The 27,647-nt window shown below is 45.4% G+C and overlaps 2 pseudogenes across 2 annotated transcripts in view, besides 1 other annotated feature; one reads left to right on the forward strand and one right to left on the reverse strand.

The window, feature by feature from the left end:
* Positions 1 to 2,178: 2,178 nt before the first annotated feature.
* HERC2P7 (HERC2 pseudogene 7) lies at positions 2,179 to 5,400 on the reverse strand (annotated as a pseudogene). The gene is made up of 3 exons (NR_036470.1): positions 5,221 to 5,400; positions 5,004 to 5,128; positions 2,179 to 3,637 (listed from the first exon to the last, which is right to left on the reverse strand). The product of NR_036470.1 is annotated as an HERC2 pseudogene 7 (transcript).
* Positions 5,401 to 17,862: 12,462 nt separating this feature from the next.
* The window catches only part of HERC2P2 (HERC2 pseudogene 2), a 95,995-nt pseudogene continuing 86,210 nt past the window's right edge, over positions 17,863 to 27,647 (forward strand). The window contains exons 1-2 of the transcript NR_002824.3: positions 17,863 to 17,981; positions 18,596 to 18,698. The product of NR_002824.3 is annotated as an HERC2 pseudogene 2 (transcript). The remainder of the gene's footprint in view (positions 17,982 to 18,595; positions 18,699 to 27,647) is intronic.
* Positions 20,144 to 20,798: an enhancer, noted in NCBI's record as "OCT4-NANOG hESC enhancer chr15:23375324-23375978 (GRCh37/hg19 assembly coordinates)". NCBI's record gives its function as "activates a minimal SCP1, AML or CMV promoter by ChIP-STARR-seq in naive and primed H9 embryonic stem cells {active_cell/tissue: H9 hESC(naive and primed)}" and the evidence as "EXISTENCE:reporter gene assay evidence [ECO:0000049][PMID:30033119]".

The raw sequence follows: 27,647 nt of genomic DNA on the forward strand, positions 1-27,647 counted from the left end.
TAAATCTGCTGTAGAACCAATGTCCCATACAGGACCCCACGTGCCACAGGAACCAAAAAGTCACACGCAGCGAAGACGAAGACACAGGAGACAACCTGTGTAGACAGCACAGAGCCACCTGCCCAGGACACCAATGGAGCCACAGGTGCAATTCAAAATGTTCTTAGTCGTATTAATAAACATGGCCAGGTGCGGTGGCTCACGCCTGTAATCCCAACACTTTGGGAGGCTGAGGTGGGCAGATTACCTGAGGTTGGGAGTTCAAGACCATCCTGGCCAACATGGTGAAACCCCATCTCTACTAAAAATACAAAAATTAGCCAGGTATGGTGGCATGCTTCTGTTAGTCCCAGCCACTCAGGAGGTTGAGGCAGGAGAATCATTTGAACCCAGGAGGCAGAGGCTGCAGTGAGCTGAGATCGTGCTACTGCACTCCAGTCCAGGCAACAGAGTGAGGATCCATCTCCGGGTGGGGAAAAAAAATTGTTCTTAGTCACATTAACAAAAGTAAAAAAAAAAAAAAAAAACACACCAACAAGAAAAACAACAACACATAAAATTAATTGTAATAATGGCTGGTTGCAGTGGCTCATGCCTGTAATCCCAGCACTCTGGGAAGCCAAAGCGGGCAGATTACTTGAGGTCAGGAGTTCGAGACCAGCCTGGCCAACATGGTGAAACTCTGTCTCTACAAAAATACAAAAATCAGCCAGGCGTGGTGGTAGTCCCAGCTGCTCGGGAGTCTGTAGTCCTGTAGTCCCAGCTGCTCAGGAGGCTGAGGCAGGAGAATCACTTGAACACAAGAGGCGGAGGTTGCAGTGAGCCAAGATTGCACCACTGCACTCCGGTCTGGTCAACAGAGTAAGATTCCATCTTAAAAAATAAAAATAATTTTAATAATGTATCATAGTTATTCCAACAGATCAAAAATATGACCATTTCAACATGAAATCAATCTAAGAAAAATTATTGAGATATTTTACATAGGTTATTTCATATTAAGTCCTCAAAAACCATCTGAGTAGCTTACATATGTAACACATTTCAATTTGGACCGTGAAATTTGCATTGAAAACATCTGATCTCCATTTAGACTCATAAAATACACAGTTGACAAAGTAGACTCCCAAGGCCAAGTGATTCTAAACATACTTAAGTGCTTTCTAATAACAGAATCAAATTTTCAAACCTGCATTTTAATGAATAAAAATTAAACAGATAAAATATTCAGTGTCTCAGCTATGACGGACAGACTTCAAGTGCTGATCAGCAAACGGTGTTGAGTGTAGCCAGATGGGCCAGCGCAGGCTACACAGCTGCAGCTCAAACAGCACAGCTGCAGGTCAAACAGGCCAGTCTCTCTGCGCACGGGAACAGTCTGGGCAAGCAGGAGACGGGGAAAACGGGCACTGCCCTCGTGAGAACAAAGGACCCACAACAGGAACCCTGCACTCACCCCCTGCCAAAGACCAACAGCCCCACGAAGCAGCCACTTCAGAAAAGGGAGAGGCATTCAAGAACTTAGAAAAGCACCTCTGGAAAATGCTCACTTTAAAACTTTGCATGTAACTGTACATTTTAATTACAAGGTTTTTAACATCCATTTTCTCATGTATTCTTAATTAACTCTGTGAAAGTAAACACAGCTTTTATTCTTACTCCTATAGTTACTGTGTTGGAAGTCCACCTATATGAACAAACTGTTGTAACTGAAATTTTCTGAGAACAAATCCCAAGCTCTTTCCATCGACACAAACTATATTGTTTAGTTCTCTTTATTTCCATTTGTTAAAGACCAGAATGTGTGAAATATGCATTATCAGATTAGAAAAACAAAACAAACATCAGAAAAAGGTTTTGCAAAGTAGCATTTACTAAAATCTATGACAGAAACTAGCTCTAAAACTTCCTGTTTCAAAATTTCACTGTGTGTGCACTAAGTTAGTTTTTCTGGCTGTGGACAGCAGGCCCACCCCATGCCGCGGGCCCACCCCACGCCGCAGGCCCACCCCACGCCACAGGCCCACCCCACGCCACAGACCCACCATGGCCCCATGAACAGGCCAGCTGAGAGCTGCAGCCACTGCCCAGGGCTCCCTGGTCTGTACTCGGCTGCCTGACCCCAGCTGCCAGGGCTCTGCTTTCTCTATGTGTAGAAACAAAAACCAGGAGCATCAGTTGACGAAAAGCAGATTTTTATTGAACAGAGGTATAAATGTGTTTCATTTTCTAATAAATCTCTTTCACAAATCACCTTGCTGTTTCGCTCTTCTTGAATGATCATTTTTACACAACACTGTCTGACTGTTTTGGCTTCTGCCAAGGTTAGCGTCTGTTCACAGGCTGAGTCTGACTTCTTCCTCCCACCTCCTCCTAGTCTGGCCTTCCAAAATAATGCTCACCATTCTATCACATTGACTTCAGTTTTGAAAAGAAAAGTTATCTTACAAAGTAGTATGTATAACTCTGTAATATATAAAGTGAGGCAATGATACAATCAGTTTTAAAAATAACCTTCCATGATGATTTTCATTTGCATCCACCTGCTTATTAGTAAGAATCTTTTTACATGTTTACTGCACGCCCCAATTTCTCTTCAGTGAAAAACTTTTGAGTATCATCACACCCTCCAACTTCTCCTCTCACCTATATTGAAAAGGGTCTGCTCTTTATCCTAACATCTATACTAGGTAATTTTCAGAATATTCCTTCAATCATCAAACAAATTTTTGAGATCCTTGCGCTAGATTTCACTATCTTAATATGAAAACCAATAATCACCTATTAAAATACAATACAGGCCAGGCACAGTGGCTAACACCTGTAATCCCAACATTTTGAGAGGCCAAGGCAGGTGGGTCACCTGACGTCAGGAATTTGAGACCAGCCTGACCAATATGGTAAAACCCCATCTCTACTAAAAATACAAAAATCAGCCAGGTGTGGTTGCAGACGCCTGTAGTCCCAGCTACTCGGGAGGCTGAGGCAGGAGAATAGCTTGAACCCAGGAGGCGGGGGTTGCAGTGAGCCAAGATCGTGACACTGCACTCCAGCCTGGACGATAGAGCAAGACTCCATCTCAAAAAAAAAAAAAAAAAAAAAACACCATTAATAAGTAAATAAATAGGCCAGGCGTGGTGGCTAATGCCTGTAATCCCAACATTTTGATAGGCCAAAGTGGATGGACCACCTGAGGTTGGGAGTTCAAGACCGGCCTGACCAACATGAAGAAACCCTGTCTCTAATAAAATTACAAAATTAGTGGGGCATGGTGGCGCATGCCTGTAATCCCAGCTGCTCGAGAGGCTGAGGCAGAGGAATTACTTGAACCTGGGAGGCGGAGGTTGCAGTGAGTCAAGATCGCACCACTGCACTCGGGCCTGGGCAACAAGAGCGAAACTCTGTCTCAAAAAACAAAAAAGTAAATAAATAAAACACAATACAATACAGCTAATATGATTTACCTAAGAAGCTGTTGTATGAGCTGAACCAGAGGCAAACACTGTTTGCCAGAAGACTCACAGATCCCCGTATTAATAAGGTCTTTATCCAATGGAGTCCTCCTTCTATGAAATGTTGAGGCATTTGCTTCCTGTTCATAAATTTCTTTTTCCTTCCGTGCTTCTTTTTTTGTATCCTGTAATTGACAAACAGAAATTGTTTACAAGTGATCTCATTACCAGGTGTGAAGGCACACAGGCTGGCTGAGCCCTGACCCCAGTGCCAAGCTATCCCAGCCTCTGTGGCTGCCACACCCATCCACCCACAGGCCCCCACCTGCCCTGTTGGAAACCCCAACTCATCTGTGCAGTTTCAAACAGTGTCTTCTTTTTACAGATCCAAGGTCTAGGCTGCCTCTGCTGATGCTCTCCAGCCTCCTTCTGTGAAGTCCCTAAAATCCTTAACCCTGCTAATGGCTCACACAAAACCCAATGTGATCGGCTCCACACACACAGCATCCAGCTGCTCTGTAAGGACAAGAAGGAGCTAGAATTCTCACACACAAAAGTCCTGGTTCAAATGCAAATGGCAAAGCCACTTTGGGAAACTATGAACACACACTAACCCCAGGACCTAACAAATTCCACTCCAAGTGTTTATCCAAAGGGAGAACATATGTTCACTAAAGTACTTGTTCACAGCACAATTGTGGCAGCTCTACACGGCCAAAAACCAGAAAGCCTGGGCGCGGTGGCTCACGCTTGTAATCCCAACACTTTGGGAGGCCAAGGTGGGGGGATCACTGGAGCCCAGGAGTTGAAGACCAGCCTTGCAACACAGTGAAACCTTGTCTCTACAAAAAAATCAAAAAACTAGCCGGGCATGGTGACATGTATGTGGTCCCTGCAACACAGGAGGCTGAGGTGGGAGGATCATTTGAACCTAGGAGTACAAGGCTGCAGTGAGCCAACATCAGGTCACTGTATACAGCCTGGGTGACAGAGCAAGACCCTGTCTCAAAAAAAAAAAAAAAAAAAAGAAAACAAAAACCAAAAACAATTACATGTCCTTCAATAGGAGAATGAACTAACAAACAGTACTACACCTATAAAATGGAAAACTTCCCAATAATAAAAACGAAGTCGCAATACACACAACAGTGAGTGAATCTGAAAATCATTCTCCAAGGCAAAGCAGGAAAGAGTGCATACTATACAGTTATATTGCTGCGACACTCAGAGCAGGAAAAATGAATCTAATCTCAGGGCAGGGGAGTATCCTGGCTGCAAGTGCCAAGGAGCACAGGGATCTTTCCGGGTGACGGGAATGGTCTACATGAGGAACAGGTTACCTGTTAACTTCACTGAAACAGACAACATGCAGTATTTTATCACAAATCATCTCAATAATTTTTAAAATTAGCACATAAAAGAATTTTAATTTAAAAAAATACTTGGATATAAGTTTAGTGTTTTACTGTTTTCAGTTATTCTTCACATGTGTGAGTGTGGTATTTCCGATCTCAGCCCACCACCAGGTCACGTGTGCCTCCAAGGCCATACCTGGATCTCTGCAGTAATGGCTGCGTGTAAGGCTGACTCCAACCCTCCATCAGCCATCAAGCTGCCCACCAGAAGATCAATCACCAATCGATGACCTGGACTTATGCTCACTTCATTGCCTGAAACTGAAATAGAAAGTGTGTGCCAATTTGAGTGAAACGCCATCCCCTCCCAGCACCCTGACCCATGCCCTCTCCTGTTCCTTCCCCGAGCCCACCTCCGCAGGACAGGAGAGCAGAGTGCCCGGGCCTGCTTCTCAGCGGTGGGCAACAGCATGGACCAGCCGCTCTGCAGCATGGCCTGGGAGGCCGACTGCACGGTGCTCAGCACGTCTGCGCTGCTTGCCAGGGTCACCACCTTCTGCTTCAGGCTGTTCAGGAAGACGCTGCCCAGACCTAAACCAAGGAATTCCAGGTCAACCTGGTGACTAATGGCAGCATGCAACTGAAAGGAGAAAAACAATTTTCACTTAGAACCCCTAAAAATGAGTGAATTTCAAAGTCTTATTAAACACTGAATAAAAGTCAATTTGAAGTATCATCTAAATAGACAAAATAACTTCTCAGTTTACGTATTTTTAAAAACTGGACTAAAAAAACTCTTACCCACAATAGTTGAAGTATTTTCTAGAGGAATTTTTTTTAACCCCACTATGAACACATATATGGAAAAGCTCAAGATGAGCAGAAGAGCTAAACAACTAGCAACAGCAACCTCCACCCCGCCCCAACAATCTGCACCAAACACAGAAATAATGGCTACAATGTAACCACAAAAGCTGCCATAGGCGGTGGCTCATGCCTGTAATCCCAGCACTTTGGGAGGCCGACGGGAAAGCTCACTTGAGATCAGGAGTTCAAGATCAGCCTGGCCAACATGATGAAACCCCATCTCTATAAAAAAATCAGCCGGGTGTGATGGTACACACCTGTAGTCCCAGCTACTTGGGAGGCTGAGGCAGGAGAATCACTTGAACCTGGCAGGCCAAGACCGTACCACTGCATTCCAGCCTGGGTGACAAAGTGACACCCTGTCTAAAAAAAAAAAAGAGCTGCTAAAAATTAGACTGTGGAGCTGAGAGTACACAGGGAAACTCCTCAAGTGCAAAACCAAAATTCACGTGGGCACACACAGCAGGAGTCAAGAGGTTCCGGGCTCTGAAAGCAGAGCCAAGCCGCCAGGCTTCAGCACAACCTCCCACACGGGAATGCACACAAGGACCCACTGAACTCGAGCTTCCTGCAGAAGGCTGGGAGCCACTCAGGATCACCTGCCTGCCAGCCAACCGCAGCCAGGGGGCAACACACTGCCCGTCCCAGGCTTTGGGTAGCAAGAGGCCCCATGAGAAATCAGAGACCCGGCCTTGCCCTGTGAGTAGAAGTGAAATCAAAAGCACACCACTCATCTAGGTATAGATATCACAGGTCAGGAAATGACCACCGAAACTCACCTGGAGTCTGTGAAACCTACAGAACCCTCAGGACCCTGGAGAGGCAAATGCAAAACCATACGCTGGGACACCTCGACAGCCTAAGACATACACAAGGCCACGCCCCACAGCACTGACCAGAACAGACACATCACCGCAAACCAGGAGGGGCAGCAAACACCTGGGGCGCAACCACGCAAACGCCAGGATGCCACAGATATGGTGATAAATGAGTGCTACAGAGGACTAGAGGAGAAGCATGCTCCAGACCTCTGCTCAGTTCATTACTGCAACTAAACACTACACTCAGTTCTGTACATTCTAGAAGCAGGGCAAAAAGGGGAGGGGCTGGAAGAGGGACATGACGGGTTGTTACAAGAAACCACTGTAATAAAAGGGAAAAATTACTATGTCGAGAAAACCGTGGTTCTTGTCATTAAGTTAGAGGGTTTTATTACAAAGACAAAAGATGATGATCAAACACTTCAGCTTTAGTTTTGCTAGGGAGGAAGGCTTTTGTAGCTTTTATTTTGACCCTAACCACAGCCTTCATGGTGAGGAAAGGAAGGTATTGCTTTGGGAGCCAAGCTTACTGAGTAGATCAAGCTTGTTCAACCCACGGCCCGAGGGCAGCATGTGGCCCAGGGCAGCTTTGAATGTGGCCCAAAGTAAAATTTCTTAAAACATCATGAGATATTTTTGGGATTCTTTTTTTAAGCTCATCAGCTATCATAAGTGTATTTTATGTGTAGCCCAAGACAATTCTTCTTCCAGTGTGGCCCAGGGAAACCAAAAGACTGGACCCTCCTGGAGCAGGGTTTTCACAGGACAGAGGAGAGACAGGCCAGCACTGGTCTCTCAGCTGAGCGCTGTCTCTCTCCATCACCTGTGATCTCACCCAGTCATTTCTCCACACGCAACAACAGTAAAACAGTAAGAATACCAACAAACTAATGATTATAGCAAAAATAACACAATCCATATACACTCTTCCTGCATGCCGAGGCTGACTTCCAGGACAAACATAAAATAAACAGATCAAGTTTTTTAAGCCTTGCGTCCATTATTAGTGCATTACAATCTTACTTTAAAATACTTCCCCCAGCAGGCTAAAACCTATGTCCTTCAAAATACATAAACCTTCTTACAAATCGCTAAGACACTTATAAAAGGAGCAAGAGGAAGGGAAATCACGAATACCTGAAGTCGGGGAAGATTCAGCGTTGCCACGGCCACGCACTCTTTCTCCTGGGGCGGGGGCCAGTCCGTGGAGCCATCCATCCCCTCACTCACCTGCCGAAGCAGGAGATCCAGCTGCTCAAAAGTCACTGAGCAAATATCCACCCCAAAAGGGACATGGAGGCCAATGGACCACTCAGAACACGATGACCAAGCAATGCTCTAAGAGGAAACGCAACAATCGGAAATGAATCTCCAAATGCAGTTCTTGGTCTGTCGCACAGGAGTCACCAGCTTGTGTGATGGAGCTGCCTTATATTATTACCTATCATCCCTCTAACTGCCCAGTGGAAAAGCATTCATGGGTGTCTAGCTCACACACTATCAGCTTCCAATTCTCCCACCCATTTCACTAGCCCCATCTCACTTGGCCATACCTAAAAAAGTAAAAACATTTTAAAAAATCTTTTCACTCTCAAAATGATTAATGCACATTAATGGATGGCAGTGAGGCTCTCCATCCACTTGAAGTGGTATAATAGCAACTCTAACTAGACAATGAATTGTTAGACACATATAACACACACAATATCTTTCATAGTGAGAGAACAAGTAATCGGCAAAAATCTAGGAGAACTGTAGAACACCTTCAATAAACTGGATCTAATTTATAGAACACTTCACCCAACAACAGCAAAATACATATACTTTTTTTTTTTTTTGAGACAGAGTCTCGCTCTGTCGCCCAGGCTAGAGTGCAGTGGCGGGATCTCAGCCCACTGCAAGCTCTGCCTCCTGGGTTCACGCCATTCTCCTACCTCAGCCTCCTGAGTAGCTGGGACTACAGGTGCTCACCACCACGCCTGGCTAATTATTATTATTTTTTTAATTTTTATTTTTAGTAGAGATGGGGTTTCACCATGTCAGCCAGGATGGTCTTGATTTCCTGACCTCGTGATCCACCTGCCTTGGCCTCCCAAAGTGCTGGGATTACAGGCGTGAGCCACCGTGCCCGGCCATACATACACTTTACATATACTTTTTTTAAATTTTATTTTTTTTGAGATGGAGTCTAGCTCTGTCGCCCAGGCTGGAGTGCAGTCGCATGATCTCAGTTCACTGCAAGCTCTGCTTCCCAGGCTCAAGCCAGTCTCCTGCCTCAGCCTCCCAAGTAGCTGGGACTACAGGCGCCCGCCATCATGCCCGGGTAATTTTTTTTGTATTTTTAGTAGAGACTGAGTTTCACCCTGTTAGCCAGGATGGTCTCGATCTCCTGACCTTGTGATCTGCCTGCCTCGGCCTCCCAAAGTGCTGGACCATACATATACTTTTTAAGCACATACAGACCATACATATACTTTTTACACATATATGTATACATATATGTATATACAGACCATACATATACAGACCATACATATACTTTTTAAGCACATACAGAATGTTCACTGAGAACATAACCTGACACATAAATCTTAACAAATTTAAAAGAAATGAAATCATATGCAGTTTGTTCTCCAATCACAATGGTATTAAACTAGAAATCATTAACAAAACAATCTGCAAACACTTCAAAATAAAACAACATACTTAATAATCCATGGGTCAGGCCGGGCGCACTGGCTCACGCGTGTAATCCCAACACTGTGGGAGGCCAAGTTGGGGGGATCACCTGAGGCCAGGAGTTGAAGATCAGCCTGGCCAACATGGAGAAACCCCATCTCTACTGTAAATACAAAACAATTAGCCGGGCATGGTGGCGGGTGCCCGTAGTCCCAGCTAATCAGGAGGCTGAGGCAGGAGAATCGCTTGAACCCAGGAGACAGAGGTTGCAGTGAGCCGAGATCATGTCATTGCACTCCAGCCTGGGCAACAACAGTGAAACTCCGTATTGAAGAAAAATAATAATAATAATCATCATCATCATCATCATCCATGGGTCAAAGAACAATTCTCAAAAGAAATTAGAAAATATTTTGAACATAAATGAAAATGCACCAAAATTTGTGGGGTTAATTAAAGTACTGCTTAGAGGAAAATTTATAGCATCAAATCATTATATATTACAAAAAAGATAGGTCTAAATCAGCAATCCAAGTTTCCACCTTAAGAAACCAGAAAAAGAGCAAAGTGAACGCAAAACAAGCCAAAGGAACAAATGCCAAGATAAAAGCAGAAACTAATGAGATTGAAAGCAAAAAAAGAAGGGAAAAATTAATGAAACTTAAAGATCATTCTTTGAAAAGATCAACAAAATTGAAAAACTCTAGGAAAACTGACAAAGAAAAAAACAGAAAAGATACAAATTATCAGTATCAGGAATGAATGAAGGGACATCACTGCAGGCCCCACAGACTTCAGACGGTTAGCAAGAGAACACTAAGGAAAACTTGACACTTAAAAATCAGACAACTTAGATGAAATAAAGCAATGTCCGAGTGCCACAAACCAGGAAAATCCTCCTAGAAACAAACAGGTTACCTGAATAGTTCTGTATCTGTTAAATAAATTGAATTTGTAAAAATTTTTTTTTTTTTTTGAGCCGGAGTCTCACTCTGTCACCCAGGCTGGAGTGCATTGGTGCAATCTCAGCTCTCTGCAATCTCTGCCTCCCAGGTTCAAGTGATTCTCCTGCCTTAGCCTCCTGAGTAGCTGGGATTACAGGCGCACGCCACCAAGCTCGACTAATTTTTTGTATTTTTAGTAGAAACGGGGTTTCACCATGTTAGCCAGGCTGGTCTCAAACTCCTGACCTCAGGTGATCCACCTGCCTCGGCCTCCCAACGTGCTGGGATTATAGGCACGAGCCACCGTGCCCGGCGTAAAATCTTTTAGAAAGAAATCTCCAGGTTCAGATGGATTCAAAAACATTTAAAGAAGAAATAACACTAATTCTACACAATCCCTTAGAGAAAATGGAAAAGGAGGGAACACATGCCAATACTTTGTATAAGGTCAGCTTTCCCCTGACAGAAAGCCAGACGAGATAGTGTAATACAAAGAAAGAAAACTGCAAACCAACATCCCTGATGAGCATCAACAGAAAAATCCTCAAAAACGTGTTAGCAAGTCAAATTTAGCAATATAGAAACAGAATAGGGCCGGGCGCAGTGGCTCACGCCTGTAATCATAGGAATATTGGGATGCCAAGGAGGGTGGATCACTTGAGGTCAGGAGTTGGAGACCAGGCTGGCCAACATGGTGAAACCCCATCTCTACTAAAAACAAACAACAAACAAACAAAATTAGCCAGGTGTGGTGGTGCACACCTCTAATCCCAGCTACTCAGGAAGCTGAGGCAGGAGAATTGCTTGAACCCAGGAGGCAGAGGTTGCAGAGAGCTGAGATTGCACCAATGCACTCCAGCCTGGGTGACAGAGTGAGATTCTGTCTCAAAAAAAAAAAAAAAAAGAAAGAAAGAGAGTAGTAAATCGTGGCCAAGTGATGCCTATCCCAGTAACACAAGGCTTGGTCAGTATTTAAAAATCAGGCTGGTATAGTGTCTCACACCTGTAATCCCAGCACTTTGGGAGCTCACTGCAACCTCAAACTCTTAAGCTCAAGCAATCCTCCTGCCTCAGCCTCCTGAGTAGCTGAGACTACAGGTGCACACCAGCATGCCACGCTAATTTTTAATTTTTTTGTAGAGATGGGATCTCGCTGTGTTGCCCAAGCTGGTCTCTAACTCCTGGGCTCAAGTGACCCTCTCGCCTATGCCTCCCGAAGTGCTGGTGTGAGCTGTTGCACCCAGCCAAAATACGGCAGATTTGTAGTACCCCAGAAGGCTCCTTCCTGACCTACACTTTCCCACAAAGGAAACTACTCTTCTGACTTCAATCATCGTCAGTTCTGCCTTCCTGCGCTTCATCTAGGTGGGCTGGTACTGTGCACTGTCTCTCATACCTGGCTCCCTCTATTCACCCATGTCGTTGAGTGTTCCTACCACTTCATTTTTCTTTTTTGGCTGTGTAGTATTCCATGATGTGACTGTATCACCATTTATTCACTCTCCTGTTGATGGACATTTAGGTTGTTTTCATTTGGGGCTCTTATGAATAAAAATGGCAGTGAACATTCTTATATAAGTCTTTTTGTGGACATATGCACTCGTTTCTCTTGTGTACATGCTTAGGATGGAATTTCTGAACGTAGGCATAGATATAGCTTTAGTAGAAGCTGCCAAACAGGTTTCCAATGTGCTTATACAATTTTATGCTACTGCCAGCTTGACAGTTCTTGTAGCTCTACATCTTTACCAATACTCTGTATAACACAGCATTTAACTTTAAATAGAGATAAAACGATGGTAAGATCCAAAGAAGTGTGCATGTTCCTGAAGAACATCCAGTAAAGGGCCTATTTTATTCATCTGTTTCGGGCACTGAAAACCACTGCATGGCCGGATGAGGAAGGAGGCCTGGTACAACTCCCAAGAAGGCATGTGTCCCTCGGGTGGGCTTTGTTTCCCAGAAACTCTGGGGAAGGGGTGGAGAGGCACCTTCTGGGCCAGCTGGTCTCCTCTGGCTTTTCTTGTACCCTAGGGCTCCCTCCAAAGAGACAGAGAACAGCCTGGCCGGGGAGCAGTATCTCCTACTGCGCTTGCTGTGAGCCAGCCACTCTGCCTTCTTTCAGGAATTACAAAATCCACAGGTCCCCGGCATCCTTATTTATGTATTTATTCATTTATGAGGCATGGTTTTCCTCAGCTCTGTTGGATGGGTCTCTGTGAAGGGAGCTTGGTGGGGGCGAGTGGCCCCTCCCTGGAGGAGGCAGGCCCCTGGTCAGGATCTTTGGGGCTCCAGGTCTCATAAGTGGGGGGCCAGGCTCCCTAGAGAAACCCTTCTTGGCTAGGGCTGGGGAGCCCACCAGAGTGACCCAATCAGTTCTCAGGGCCTGTGATGGGGCCAAGTGGTTTTGAGAAGCCAGTGTTCAGCTCCATCCTAAAGAGCACTCATGCACGTTGGGGAGGAGGGCCGGGGTGCACAGCTCTGACCTGAGTCAGACCCACCTCAGGACTTAGCCCAGCAGGAGGCCCAGAGTCACTGACCATAAAACGAGCAGATGCCTCCCCCGTGCTGATGGAGATGAGTCTTGGGCATCAACTCTAATAATTTCTAACTGCACCCAGAAATACTGATTCACACAGCAACTAGTGAATAATAGCCTTTTAGAGCTAAAAAAGCCTCATATATTATAAATTAACATATGCATTTTACACAAACTAGAGGCACCGTGGTGGGCCAGCAGCAGCCTGTTCAGGGGCCACAACAAGGGAGATTGGATTTCCTTAAGTGCAATGGGAGTTACTGGCAAGGCTTTAAGGTTTTAGCCACAGGAAAGATGAAAGTATTTTAGAGCAATGTGGGTGGATTCAAAGTGAGGTTTTGAACTAGATCAGTTTTTTTTTTTTTTTTTTTAGACAGAGTCTGACTCTTATTGCCCAGGCTGGAGTGCAGTGGTGCTATCTTGGCTCCCTGCAACCTCTGCCACCCAGGTTCAAGCAATTCTCCTGCCTCAGCCTCCTGAATAGCTGGGATTACAGGCACCTGCCACCAAGCCCGGCAAATTTTTGTATTTTTACGGGGTTTCACCATCTTGGCCAGGCAGTTCTTGAACTCCTGACCTCGTGATCCACCTGCCTTGGCATCCCAAAGCATTAATTTTTTTTTTTTTTTTTTGAGACGAAGTCTTGCTGTGTCGCCCAGGCTGGAGTGCAGTGGCCCGATGTCGGCTCACTGCAAGCTCCGCCTCCCAGGTTCACGCCAGTCTCCTGACTCAGCCTCCCGAGTAGCTGGGACTACAGGCGCCCGCCACGATGCCCAGCTAATTTTTTGTATTTTTTTTAGTAGAGATGGGGTTTCACCGTGTTAGCCAGGGTGGTCTCAATCTCCTGACTTCCTGATCTGTCCGCCTTGGCCTCCCAAAGTGCTGGGATTACAGGGGTAAGCCACCACGCCCCTCCAAGTATTAAATTTTTTATTTAAAAAATCTCCCCTCTCCAAAGATCTCCCAGCATTTCTGCAGAGGTCTCTACCTAGGTAAGGAGAAGAAACTATTCTTGGCCGGGTACAGTGGCTCACGCCTGTAATACCAGCACTTTGGAAAGCCAAGGTTGGAGGATTCCTTGATCCCAGAAGTTCGAGACCAGCCTGGCCAACATGGTGAAACCCCATCTTTACCAAAAATACAAAAATTAGGTGGGTGTGGTGGAGTGTGCCTGTAGTCCCAGCTACTCAGGAGGCTGAGGTAGAAGGATCGCTTGGGCCTGGGAGGTCAAGTCTGCAGTGAACCAAGGTGGTGCCACTGCACTCCAGCCTGGGTAACAGAGTGAGATCCTGTCTCAAAAAAAAAAAATTATTTGTGAGGGTGAAATTTAAATACCTTTGTGCATAGCTATCAGTTATTCTTTGTTTTAATATTTAGTTTATTGTGAAATATAACACATATAGAAACATACATAAAACAACACACAGGGCCAGGCCCGGTGGGTCACGCCTTGTAATCCCAGCACTTTGGGAGGCCGAGGCGGACGGATTACTTGAGGTGAGGAGTTTGAGACCAGCCTGGCCAACATGGTGAAACCCCATCTCTACTAAAAATACAAAAATTAGTCAGATGTGGTGGTGCATGCCTGTAATCCCAGCTACTTGGGAGGCTGAGGCAGGAGAATCGCTTGAACCTGGGAGGCAGAAGTTACAGTGAACCAAGATCGTGCTACTGCACTCCAGCCTGGGCAACGGAGTCAGACTGTGTCTAAAAAAAAAGAAAAAAAATAAAGGCTGGGTGTGGTGGCTCACGCCTGTAATCCCAGCACTTTGGGAGGCCGAGGCGGGCAGATCCCTTGAGGTCAGGAGTTCGAGACCAGCCTGACCAACATGGAGAAACCCCATCCCTACTAAAAGTACAAAATTAGCCGGGCATGGTGTTGCATGACTGAAATCCCACCTACTTTGGAGGCTGAGGCAGGAGAATCGCTTGAATCTGGGAGGTAGAGGTTGTTTTGAGCTGAGATCACGCCATTGTACTCCAGCCTGGGCAACAAGAGCGAAACTCCGTCTCAAACAAACAAAAAACAAAACAAAAACAAAAAACACAGTGTAACATGTTATTATAAAGTCACTGCTCAGGGACCAACTTGGCCGCTCCTGTGCCTCTAGAGGGAAGCTCCTTCCCACTGTTCTTTAGAGTTTTATATGTTAAGTACAGGAGTCAACAAACTAGGCCTATGCACCACATCTGGCACCCAGCCTTTATTTATTTTTTGAGATGGCGTCTCACTCTGTCACCCTGGCTGCAGTGTGGTAGCACAATCTCGGCTCACTGCATCCTCCACCTCCCAGATTCAAGCAATTCTCCTGCCTCAGCCTCCTGAGTAGCTGGGATTACAGGTGTGTGCCACCACACCCGGCTAATTTTTATATTTTTGGTAGAGACGGGGTTTCACCATGTTGGTCAGTCTGGTCTCGAACTCCTGACGTCAGGTGATCCGCCTGCGTTGCCCTCTCAAAGTGCTGGGATTACAGGCATGAGGCATGATGCCTGACCCAGCCTTTTTTAAAATGAAGGTTTCGGCTGGCGCGGTGGCTCATGTCTGTAGTCCCAGCATTTTGGGAGGCCAAGGCAGGTGGATCACCTGAGGTCAGTAGTTGGAGACCACCCTGGCCAACATGGTGAAACCCCGTCTGTATCAAAATACAAAAATTAGCTGGGCGTGATGGCAGGCACATGTAATGCCAGCTACTCGGGAGCCTGAGGCACGACAATCACTTGAACCCGGGAGGCGGAGGTTGCAGTGAGCCAAGATCACACGATTGCACTCCAGCCTGGGCAACGAGCGAAACTCCATTTCAAAATACAATAATAAAAAAAAGGATGTCCTTTTTTGTCTCTCAACCCCGTTTTTTATTTTTTTTTATTTTCAGACAGGGTCTCGCTCTGTTGCCCAGGGTGGAGTGCAGGGGCCCGATCTTAGCTCACTGCGGCCTCAACTTCCCCAGCTCACATGATCCTCCCACCTCAGCCTCCCAAATAGCTGGGACCACAGGTGGGTACCACCATGCCCGCCTAATTTTTGTATTTTTTGTAGAGATGGGATTATGCCATGTTGCTCAGGCTGATCTCGAACTTCTGGGCTCACGTGTCTCTCTGCCTCCACCTCCCAAAGTGCTGGGATTGCAGGCCTGAGCTACCATGCCCAGCCCTGCTTTAATTTAAAGTGTATTACATTTGATATTAGTACAGCCCCTTCAGCTCTTTTTTGGTTACTATTTTAATTGTATCTTTGTATCCCTTTACTTTCAATCTGTTTCTGTATTTAAAATGTTTATCTTGTAGATAGCACATTGGTGGATCATATTTTGTTCTTCAATCCTTTCAGCCAGTCTGCTTTTCTTTCTTTCTTTTTGAGACAGAGTTTTCCTTTTGTCACCCAGGCTGGAGCGCTATGGTGCGATCTCAGCTCACTGCAACCTCTGCCTCCTGGGTTCAAGCGATTCTCCAGCCTCAGCCTCCTGAGTAGCTGGGATTACAGGTGCGTGCCACCAGGCCTGACTAATTTTTGTATTTTTAGTAGAGACAGGGGTTTCTTCATGTCGGTCAGGCTGGTCTTGAACTCCTCACCTCAGGTGATCCACCGCCTCAGCCTCCCAAAGTGCAGGCATTACACGCGTAAACCACTGCGCCCGGCCAAAGTGGTGGATTTTTTTTCTCAGAAAATCTATTCCATTCTTTTTCCAGAAACCAAATTTGTACAAGTTAACTAAAATAAATATTTATACTCTAATTTTTTTGTTCTGAGGTCTGAGTTTTTAGAATTTTATCTTTACATGTTTAGAAAAATTAGAAAATATAGATAGAACATAACCAAGAAAATAATAACAACTTTCCTTCTGTTCAAAGTTCATTACTATTAGCCGAGTGCAGTGACTCACACCTGTAATCCTAGCACTTTGGGAGACTGAGGCGGGCGGATCACTTGAGCCCAGGAGTTCGAGACCAGCCTGGGCAACATGGCAAAATCCCGTCTACAAAAACTACAAAAATTAGCCAGGTGTGGTTCCATGTGCCTGCAGTCCCAGCTAGTGGCAAGGCTGAGGTGGAGAACCACCTGAACCCGGTAAGTCAAGGCTGCAGTGGTGCAGCCTCTGTCCCCCAGGCTGGAGTGCAGTGGTGCAATGTCGGCTCACTGCAACCTCCGCCTCCCGGGTTCAAGCGATTCTCCTGCCTCGGCCTCCCGAGTAGCTGGGATTACAGTCACGTGCCACCACACCTGGCTAATCTTTGTATTTTCAGTAGAGAAGGGGTCTCATCATGTTGGCCAGGCTGGTTTTGAACTCCTGACCTCAAATGATCCACCTGCTCTGGCCTCCCAAAGTGCTGGGATTACAGGCCTGAGCCACCACGCCCGGCCGTTATTTTTCTTTCTTAGAGGCAGGATCTCACTCTGTCGCCCAGGCTGGAGTGCAGTGGCACGATCTAAGCTCACTGTAGCATTGATCTCCCAGGCTCAGGCGATTCTCCTGTCTCAGCCTCCCGAGCAGCTGGGATCACAGGTGTGTGCCACCACACCTGGCTAATTGTTAAATTTTTTTATTTTTATTTTTTAGAGATGGGGTCTTGCTATGTTGCCCAGTCTGGCAACATGGGATCCTCCAACTCCTGGCTTCGAGGGATCCTCCCGCTTCGGCCTCCCAAAGCGCTGAAAATTACATACGTGAGCCACCACGCCCGGCCTATATTGTTTTATAGTTCTTCAATTTTGTTTTGTGGTCGCTGGAGGTGTTTCCTTCTTCGATTCCCTGCACAGTGCTTCCACAGCTGCTCCATGGAATCTGCCCAAGACTTTTGCTGCGTTCAGTTGAACACACAGGAGGAAGCTCTTCAGGCCCCAGCCAGCCGACCGCACAAAGATGCGTTCTCATACCCAGGGGAGCTGGTCTCGCCACTCGACCCGCGCCCTGGATAGCTATAGTTAGTGTGAGCGCCACCTCCCGCCGCGGCGTGATCAAGAGCGCTCCGGGCCAAGCAGTCTCCCGTGGGAGTGCGGGAGCGCGTGCGTGCGGCGGAAATCCAGCCTTCCGGCGCCCGCTGTTGGCCTTGGCCGCAGCCACGGCGCTCCAAGTAGGAAGATAAGCGGGATTGCTGGAAGCGGGAGAGTCGGGAGGAGCGGCGAAGGGCTCCTCTTCCCCATTGGCTGCGCCCACGGAGCAGCCTCGTTGCGATTGGCCGTACGCGGGGGGCGGCAGTCCCGCGTCGGCCCGCCCCTCGGGCCGCGAGAGGCGCCGGGATCGCGGGCGCCGGCTGAGCCAGCGGCTCTTGGGAGGCTGCGTCCGCGCGCCGGCGGGGCGAGGCGGCCGGGCCCTGCGCGTCAGGTCCTGGCCTGGGGCACCTGGGCGGCCGGTGGCGGGGGCGGTACGGGCGCGGGGCTGGCGGGCGGCCGAGCCCGGGAGGCGGGCGTGGGCGCGGCGGCCGCACCGGGGCCTGCGCGGACCACCCGCGGGGCAGCCTCGGGCCTCTCTCCATCTCTTAAGTGGTGGTGGCTGTGGGTTTTTCTGCAGGCGATCCTTTTGAGTAATTTGTTTCACGCACGCGCCCTGCTGTGGGGTAAAGCGGCAGATTCATGCTGCTGTCATTTGTCGTTAAAACGATGGGCTCCCTGTTATGTGTGTGTACTTCTTGGATTTGAGGGCAGGGGGATGACATTGTAACTTGGCTTCCTGTGACCGTCCATTCTCAAGGTCTCGTCAGCGTGGTGCAGAAACTCGGCACACCCTGCCTACCTTGGAAGCAGGCTTTCCCTTCCCCACCTCCCTCTCTCTCCATCTCTTCCCTCTTTCCCTCTCTCCCCTTCTCTCCCCTCCACCAGCTCTTCTCTCCCCCCTTTCTGTTCTCTCTCTCTTTTTTCTTTTCTGCATTGAACCTTTCGGGAGTGTCTTTGTAAACTATTAAAAAGCATTAGGTCTTCAGCGTATGTGTTTACTTGCAGGCCTGAGACCTGGGAGGAAGCTGGAGAAAAGATGCCCTCTGAATCTTTGTGTTTGGCTGCCCAGGCTCGCCTCGACTCCAAATGGTTGAAAACAGATATACAGGTGGGGTTTGACATGTCTTTTTCTTGGTGTGTTTCTGCTTCCATGTTTAAATTTCTCGTGTAAGGCTTTTTTTTAGGGTATGTAAGGGGAAGTCAGTTGTATCTTGCTGAATTAGAGGAGCAGGTTTATTTCCTGTAACTTAAAATGTAACAGTCTTATGGCTGTTTTTGTAGATCGTGCGCGGCTGCCTTTTAATTAGTTTCTTGCAAGTGCACGAAACTTGAGATCTATTAATAGAGAAAATTTTTTTCCTATTTATTATTACTGGTTAAGAAATCTGCCACACTCCTAACCATATCATGGTGACTGTTGTTTGTTACTGATCGTTTTTGAGCTGTTGAGTTAACTGTGGAGGGGAAAATTGGAGAAGTAAGTTGCAGTAATTATGGCCTATAGAAACTCACTCATTCCCTGAGGTCAGGAGTTGGAGACCAGCCTGACCAACATGGTGAAACCCCGTCTCTACTAAAAATACAAAATTAGCCAGGCGTGGTGGTGTATGCCTGTAATCCCAGCCACTCGGGAGGCTGAGGCAGGAGAATCGCTTGAACCCGGGAGGTGGAGGTTGCAGTGGGTCAAGATTGTGCCGTTGCACTCCAGCCTGGACAATGAGAGCTTTTTTTTCAAAAAAAAAAAAAAAGCTGTTGTGGATGATGGGATTGTTATTCATAGTGTAATGTTACATAAGACAGAGTACAGAGAATTGGGTCAAGAATTGGTGTAGTTACTCTTTGGGTTTGTTTCTCTTTAAACATTTCCTTTGATTTAGCTATAATGATCTGTTTTGTCATTTTAAGTGGATGGGAGACGTGAGAGATGAGTACTTTCATATTTCTGAAATCCTGAGATTCAGGCAAAGTTTTAATAGTTGTTTTTATATTAGTGTTTATGTATTTTGAGAAACTTTTTGGAGTAAAGGACTTTACGTAATGAAGTTTTTTTCTTAATAATTGTAATTTAATAACTGCTAAACATGAGTTCTAGTGTCTTGATCTAAAACCAGTTTAATGCTGAATTGAGTTCCTATGATGGGTTGGGCAGATAAACATACAGTGAAGCACCATTTATATCTTAGAGGGCCTGTTGTTTTGATTTATTAAGTTTAATACACAGTACTTGGTCCTTGTTACACATTTCCAATATGATTAGAAAGTCTTTTTTTTGAGACGCAGTCTTGCTCTGTCGCCCAGGCTGGCGTGCAGTGGCGCAATCTTGGCTCACTGCAACTTCCGCCTCCCGAATGCAAGTGATTCTCCCACCTCAGCCTTCCGAGTAGCTGGGATTACAAGTGTGTGCCACCATGCATGCCCGACTAATTTTTGTATTTTTAGTAGAGATGGGGTTTCACTGTGTTGGCCTGGCTGGTCTCCTGACCTCAAAGCGATCTGCCTGCCTCGGCCTCCCAAATTGCTGGGATTACAGGCGTGAGCCACTGCACCTGGCCAAAAAAAAAAAGTCATCTAAATTCCTCCTAGGAGTAAGGGAAACGACTAGGTTTTGGATAGTGTGCACCAGAGGAAAAATGTGTTACAGGTCTAAGTAGCATGAAAAAAGTGATTGCTAAGTTTTGTTTTATGTTCCACCAGCATTGGTTGTTAAACACAAGGAATGAATGGTGGTGTTTTACCGTAAGGAATAAGACATGGTTTCCCTCTTTGGGGAGCTTCCCTGCAGACAGGAATTGCAGATGGAAGCCTTGTGCTCACAGGTTTTACCCTTATCTTGTTGAGGATGGCTCTCCCAGCTGGAGTGGGAAGCGCTTCACTGCTTGAGACTTTTGTATTGGAAACAGAATTGACACCTGGGTAATGAATAATACATGGGATAGGAAGATGTTTCTTAGCCATAGGATTTAACCGATCTGTTTTCCACAGCTGTTTTTGTTCGAAATGCCCTTAAAAGTTTTAGTAACTTTAGAAAGGAAGAGTTTTTGGAGTGTGAAAACTTATAATGCTTGTGTGTTATAGAGAGCACTTATTGACTTCTTTATCATAGACATTATTTGGATACGTCAGGCCTAGGACCCTACATCCAGCAACCTCTAATGCAGGGCTCATTTTATGCCAGGCATATATATCTGGTTATTACATATAAACAGTTTAATTGTTCAACACTTTTTTTTTTTTTTTTTGAGACGGAGTCTCACTCTGTCTCCCAGGCTGGAGTGCAGTGGTGCCATCTTGGCTCACTGCAAGCCTCCTGGGTTCATGCCATTCTCCTGCCTCAGCCTCCCGAGTAGCTGGGACTACGGGTGTCCACCACCACGCCTGGCTAATTTTGTGTACTTTTAGTAGAGACAGGGTTCCACCATGTGGGCCAGGCTGGTTTTGAACTCCTGACCTCAAGTGATCCACCCGCCTCGGCCTCCCAAAGTGCTGGGATTACAGGCGTGAGCCACCGCGCCCGGCCTGTTCAACACTCTTTTCTGCTTGATGTGTGGAGTGATTGAATCACCATGTTTTCCTTCACTGCTCTCGTGAAGAGTAATACATTACAGAGGTAAGAGGTGTCAGTCACATCACTTTTTATTTTTACCGTGAAAGTACTTCTAATCTGATGTGATTGGTAGTTTTTTAGCAAACCAAAAAGTCAGTTAAGCAAAGGAATCATAAAAACCAATATATGAGACCTTAAAAGCTTTTTATTCTTAAAACACATGCCTGTTCGCCAGTTTTGTTGTAAGGTAAAGGTGCATGTCTTTGAGCATAGGTCCAGAATGGAGTTATCCTGCCCCTTCTTGCATAAGCTGCACTCAGATGAATTTCCTACAGTTTCTATTTTTGGGTTCTTTTTTAAGTGGCACATGAAACTAGATATGCATGAAGCAATTTTTAAAAAAACTTTTTATTTTGAAATAATAATAGACTCTCAGGAAGTTGTAAAGAAACTAGAGAGGTCATTGTATATTTGCGCATACTGCCCCAGTGGTTACATTTTATGTAACCATAATAGAGTATAAAAACCCAGAAATTGAAGTTGGTACAATGTGTGTGCGTAGTTCTGTGCCATTCTATCAAGTGTCTGTAAATATAACTACTACTACAATTTCCTATGCAGAACTGTTTCATCACCAGAAAGATCTCTCTCCTGCCTCTCTTCTGCCACCATCTCTAACTCCTGCCAACCACTGATCTGTTCTCCATCTCTATAATTTTGTTACTGTGAGATTACCAAGTGATATGTGACCTTCGGAAATGATTTTCTTTACTCAGCATAATGCCCTCAGGTCCGTCAAGGTTTGTTGAGTATATCAGTAGCTAAACTGGGACCATTTATTTGTCTCTTCATCTAATCATCAATTAAAAATGACCACGCATAAATGTAAGCTTTTACAGTTAAACTTATTGTATATAAATATTGTCACTTCGGCTGGGCGCGGTGGCTCACGCCTGTAATCACAGCACTTTGGGAGGCCGAGGAGGGCGGATCACTTGAGGTCAGGAGTTCAAAACCAACCTGGCCCCCATGGTGAAACCCTGTCTCTACTAAAAATACAAATGAGCCAGGTGTGGTGGTGTGCGCTTGTAATCCCAGCTACTTGGGAGGTTGAGGCAGGAGAACTGCTTGAACCCAGAAGGTGGAGGTTGCAGTGAGCCGAGATCATGCCATTGCACTCCAGCCTGGCCAACACAGCAAGACTCCTTCTCAAAAAAAAAAAATGTCACTTCATGCTTAGAAATATCAGTAGATGGCCGGGTGTGGTGGCTTAGCCTGTAATCCTAACAGTTTGGGAGGCTGAGGTCAGGAGATCGAGATCATCCTGGCCAACATGGTGAAACCCCATCTCTACTAAAAATACAAAAATTAGCTGGGTGTGGTGGCACGTGCCTGTAGTCCCAGCTACTTAGGAGGCTGAGGCAGGAGAATCGCTTGAACCCAGGTGGCGGAGGTTGTAGTGAGCTGAGATCGCGCCACTGCACTACAGCCTGGTGAGAGAGTGAGAATCTGTCTCAAAAAAAATAAAAAAGGGCAGTAGATAAAAAAAGTACAAACATGAGTATCTTGATAAATTCTATTCTCAGGCTTTCAGGTTCATAATCCTGTTGATAGATGACATGTAGAAATAGAAGAATTTGTAAATATAGGAATATTCATTGATGTTTTTAGGACTGGATTCTAAGGGTGGTTTTTACCTCTAATATCCAAATACTGCTGCCTCAAGAGAACAATTTTTGTTTTCAAAATTCCATGATAAAAAAGATGCAGTAACCCTGTATGTGGCATTTTGTCAGGTTAATTAAGAGCATTTTGCAGCAAAAAAAAAAGTTTTTTGTAGAGGCAGGGTCTTGCTTTGTTGTCCAGGCTGGTCTAGAACTTCTGCATTCAAGTGATCCTCCTGCCTTGGCCTCCCAAAGTGCTGTGATTAGATATGTGAGCCACTGTGCCTGGCCTGGTGTTTTAAAGAACTAACTTTTAACTTTGGTTCTTGGAAAAGACTAGCAATACTTGTTATAAAAAAAAGGAAAAGGGTTTAGCCGTAGGACTTTGATGACAATTCCTTTTTTTTTTTTTTTTTTTTTTGAGACAGAGTCTCACTCTGTTGCCCAGGTTGGAGTACAGTGGCACTATCTCAGCTCACTGCAACCTCCACCTCCCAGGTTCAAGCCATTCTCGTGCCTCAGCCTCCTAAGTGGCTGGAATTACAAGTGTGCACCACCACACCCAGATAATTTTTTATATTTTTAGTAGAGATGGGGTTTCACCATGTTGCCCAGGCTGGTCTTGAACTCCTGAGCTCAGGCAGTCCACCTGCCTTGGCCTCCCAGAGTGGTGGGATTACAGCAGTGAGCCACTGAGCCCAGCAGATGACAATTCTTTATGAAGAAGAAATTGAGTATCCTGTTTAAGGCACTCAAGAAAAGAAAATGTGAGTAAAGCATTTTTTGTTCCAGCAAAACCGACTTTTCAGATGAAAAACACACAAACTTCTCAGTGAGCTGTAACTTAGGAAGTATTGTTCTCATGAGCCCTTCCTTAGGAATGGAGTGGAGAAAGATCTTTAGACAACTGGATGACTGTAGATCAACCTGCAACTGATGATGGGCATGAAACAGTTATTTGTTAAACCTAGACTGCATGAGTGTTAAGGGAGAGAGCATGGCATAGCCATGTGCTTAGACATTGTAGATTATGGTTGTAACTGTTATGCAGTTCTGTTAATCTCATCCATCCATTTTGTATTTTCATTTCTAGAGATTCCATTTGAGTCCTTTTTATATCTTCTGTTTCACTCCTTATAACATTCATGCTTTCCTTCTATTAGTATAGGGAGCATTTCTGTAAGAGAGCTTTTAATGTCCTTGTCTGTGAATTCTGTAATCTCTGATCACTTCTAGATCCATCTCTGTTGATTGATTCTGTCATTTCTATTGATTGATTGCCCTAGTTATGGGGGCATGGTTGTATGCCTGCTAATTTTTGATTGAATGCTAGGCATTAATTTTATCTTCTGTGCAGGATTTTGTTTTATTTTTTTAAAGAGCCTTAGTTTTCTTCTGCCATACATGTAAGTTACATGGGGTCAGTTTGATCTTTTCAAAGCTTGATTCTGAGGTTTGTTAGGCTGATCCACACAGGCTTTACTCTTGGGCTCATTTATCCATACAACGAAGGCAATACTGTTCTCAGGACTCCACCTGATGCTTGGTGTATGAGAAGATCTTTCTTTCCTTGTTTGTGGAAACACAGGCTTTTCCCAGACTGTGCATCATGGCAGTGCTGCTTATTACTTTCTAGTGCTGCTTTCCCCAGTATTCCATAGTTTTCTTAACCTATGCTCAGAGTAGTACTCAGACAGATACTCAAGGGGCCCCTCCACTCATCTCTGGAGCTTGCTGTATTCTTGTCATTTGGCCTACGTATAGCTGATCTGTCTCCTGAGCTCAGCAAGTTCTTTGGGCTCTATTTGGGTTCCCCTTTCCTGTGCTGCAGCCTGGAAGCTGCTTCTGGGCAGTGTTTCCCTTCTCTCAGGGATCCCAGCTCTGGGCTGTCTGTTGTCCAGTTTTTGGTAACAGCTTTTCGGTATATTCTGTCTGGTTTTCTAGTTGATTATAGCAAGGAAGTGATTTCTACAGAATTCATCCTTTATAGGTGGAGGAAGCACAGGCCTTCCCAATCTGTTTTTAATCAAATCCATTGAGTTTTAAATTTTACTATTATATTTTTCTATTCCAGAATTTCCATTTTTTAAACATATCAACTTTATTGAGGTATAATTATATTAAACACATCCCTTTAAAATGTTTAGTTTGAAATGTTTGACAGTTTCTTTAACTGCCACTTTAGGTACTTTTTTCTAGTTTCAACTTCTGTGTTGAAATTGTTAATGTGATCTTTTTTTTTTTTTTTTTTTTTTTGACAAGGAGTCTCGCTCTGTCGCTCAGGCTGTAGTGCAGTGGCACAATCTCGGCTCACTGCAACCTCCATCTCCTGGGTTCAAGTGATTCTCCTGCCTCAGCCTCCCGAGTAGCTGGGACTGCAGGTGCCTGCCACCACACCTGGCTAATTTTTGTATTTTTAATAGAGATGGGGTTTCACCAGATTGGCCAGGCTGGTCTTGAACTCGTGACCTCGTGATCCGCCTGCCTTGGCCTCCCAAAGTGCTGGGATTACAAGCATGAACCGTGCCCGGCTGTTAATAGGATCTTTTAATTGCTTGACTCTATTAAAGGTAGTTATTTTAAAAGTGTGTTTATAAACCTTGTCCGACCCCATAGATTCCTTAGCCGCCTCTCTCTGTCCCTCTTGGCTGACTCATGCCTGTGAGCCGCCCTTCGGCTCCAGTCTCCGCTGTGATGTCACGCAAGAGAGTTGGAGTATGGCTTCCTGACTGCCTACCAAGGAGCCAGTGACACAGCCTGGAAGGTGTGGCGAGTGTGTGTGGGTGTGAATTCCTTGTGGTATGAACGTTCACCACTTTACAAGGAGAGATGAGGGAACTCAGTGTTTTTATTCCTCCCTTTTTTCTTTCCTCTTTGGACTATTTTATGGTGTAGTTTCTTCTTGCAAACCTTCTGGAAAAGCCACATATGCCTAGTGAATGTGCTGGCTGAACAGTTGGTTGTATTTGCAGCTCATTGAGAAGAGGTGGCACTAACATAGGGGTCAGCACATTTTTTCTGTAAAGCACCAGATAGTAAATGTTTATGTGGGCCGTACGTGCTCTTTTAGAACAGCTCACCTTGGCCATTGTCCTGCGAGAAGCTGCCAAACATGTGTATGGCTATATTCCAGGAAAACTTCGTGGATACCAGAATTTGAATGTCATATAATTTTCATTTGTTGACATATGATTTTTTTTTTTTTTTTTTCTGAGAGGGAGTCTTGCTCTGTTGCCCAGGCTGGAGTGCAGTGGCGCGATCTTGGCTCACTGCAACCTCCACCTCCTGGGTTTAAGCAATTGTTCTGCCTCAGACTCTGGAGTAGCTGGGATTACAGGCGTGTACCATCATGCCTCACTAATTTTTTTTTTTGTATTTTTAGTAGAGATGGGGTTTCATCATGTTGGCCAGGCTGGTCGTGAACTCCTTACCTCGTGATCCGCCTGCCTTGGCCTCCCAAAGTCTGAGATGACAGGTGTGAGCCACCGTGCTTGGCTGACATATGATTCTTTTGATTATGTTGCAACCATTGAAAAATATAAAATCACTCTTTTTTAATATATATTTTTCTTTTTTTAGGAAATTAAAGGAAATAAGAATGGCTCCTACATAGGCAGAGTAGGCTAAAATCACACTTAGCTGACTGTGAAGTCATATACTGCATATCGTTACTTCATTGATCTCCTTGTCTCGCTTTCCCACTTCCCTCACCCCATTGCCCCGAGCTGACATCTGCTGAGCAGAGTGTCAACACTTCAGTTCATTCCTCAGGCTCTTCTTTCATGACAGAAGTCTTTATGTTTCTGTTTTCAGGATCTACTCAGTCTGTTCTAATGACTTCTATTTTTTTTTCATTTTTCAATGATGTGGTCTTGTATCTTTGTCATTATTATATTTGCTTGACTTTCAGATATTGTATATGCAATATTGTAGCAATAAATCGAGGCTCTAGGTAACAATATCTTCCTCCAGAGAGGATGTTCTAGGCAATCCCAGGTCACTGCAGTCCCTTTGGAAATTGAGAGAATGCGAAACTGGGCTGGTTTTCCGTGAAGGCTGGTCTACTTCTAACTCACCTGTATTTCTGGTGTGTGGCCCTTTGAGGTTCCAGCTCAGAGCATGGGATCTGCCAGGCCTCTTTCTCCTGTATGAGGGCCCTGGGAGTCTCTCAGAAGCTCCGTTTTGCTTCTCAGTCTCATCCCTGCGTGCTTAGGTTCTCTGGGCCTCTTTCTTCCTCTCGTGGGTCTTAGACTTTAGGAAGACCTCACTCCCTTGCTGCTTCTAGGATGTCTTCAAATCGACGTACTTAATGTTCCTGTCTGACCTTTCTAATTGTTCTAGGAACCTGTTCTTAACATTTTTTCATATGTTGTCCTACGTTCAGTAGGTGTTTAGTATTTTTCTGTAGGTTTAAGAAAAAAAGCCGTATACCTTTACTCATCTGCAAATATTTGAAGATTACTTTTCTGTCAAATTGTAAGGACATGAAAAAGAAACATTTTCTAACCTATACATTAATCAGATATTCATTTGTTATATTATTCAGTTTTGGATTTTATTGCCTGACTCTATAGTTCTGAAGTCACTTTAATAAATGCCTTAACGGGCTGGGTGCGGTGGCTCCCGCCTGTAATCCCAGGCCGAGGCGGGTGGATCACAAGGTCAGGAGATCGAGACCATCCAGGCTAACACGGTGAAACCCTGTCTCTACTAAAAATACACAAAAAATTAGCCGGGCGTGGTGGCGTGCGCCTGTAGTCCCAGCTACTCGGGAGGCTGAGGCAGGAGAATGGCATGAACCCGGGGAGCCAAGATGGCGCCACTGCACTCGAGCCTGGGCGACAGAGCA

This window comes from Homo sapiens, chromosome 15, assembly GCF_000001405.40.
Source record: "Homo sapiens chromosome 15, GRCh38.p14 Primary Assembly".
Taxonomy (NCBI): Eukaryota; Metazoa; Chordata; class Mammalia; order Primates; family Hominidae; genus Homo; species Homo sapiens.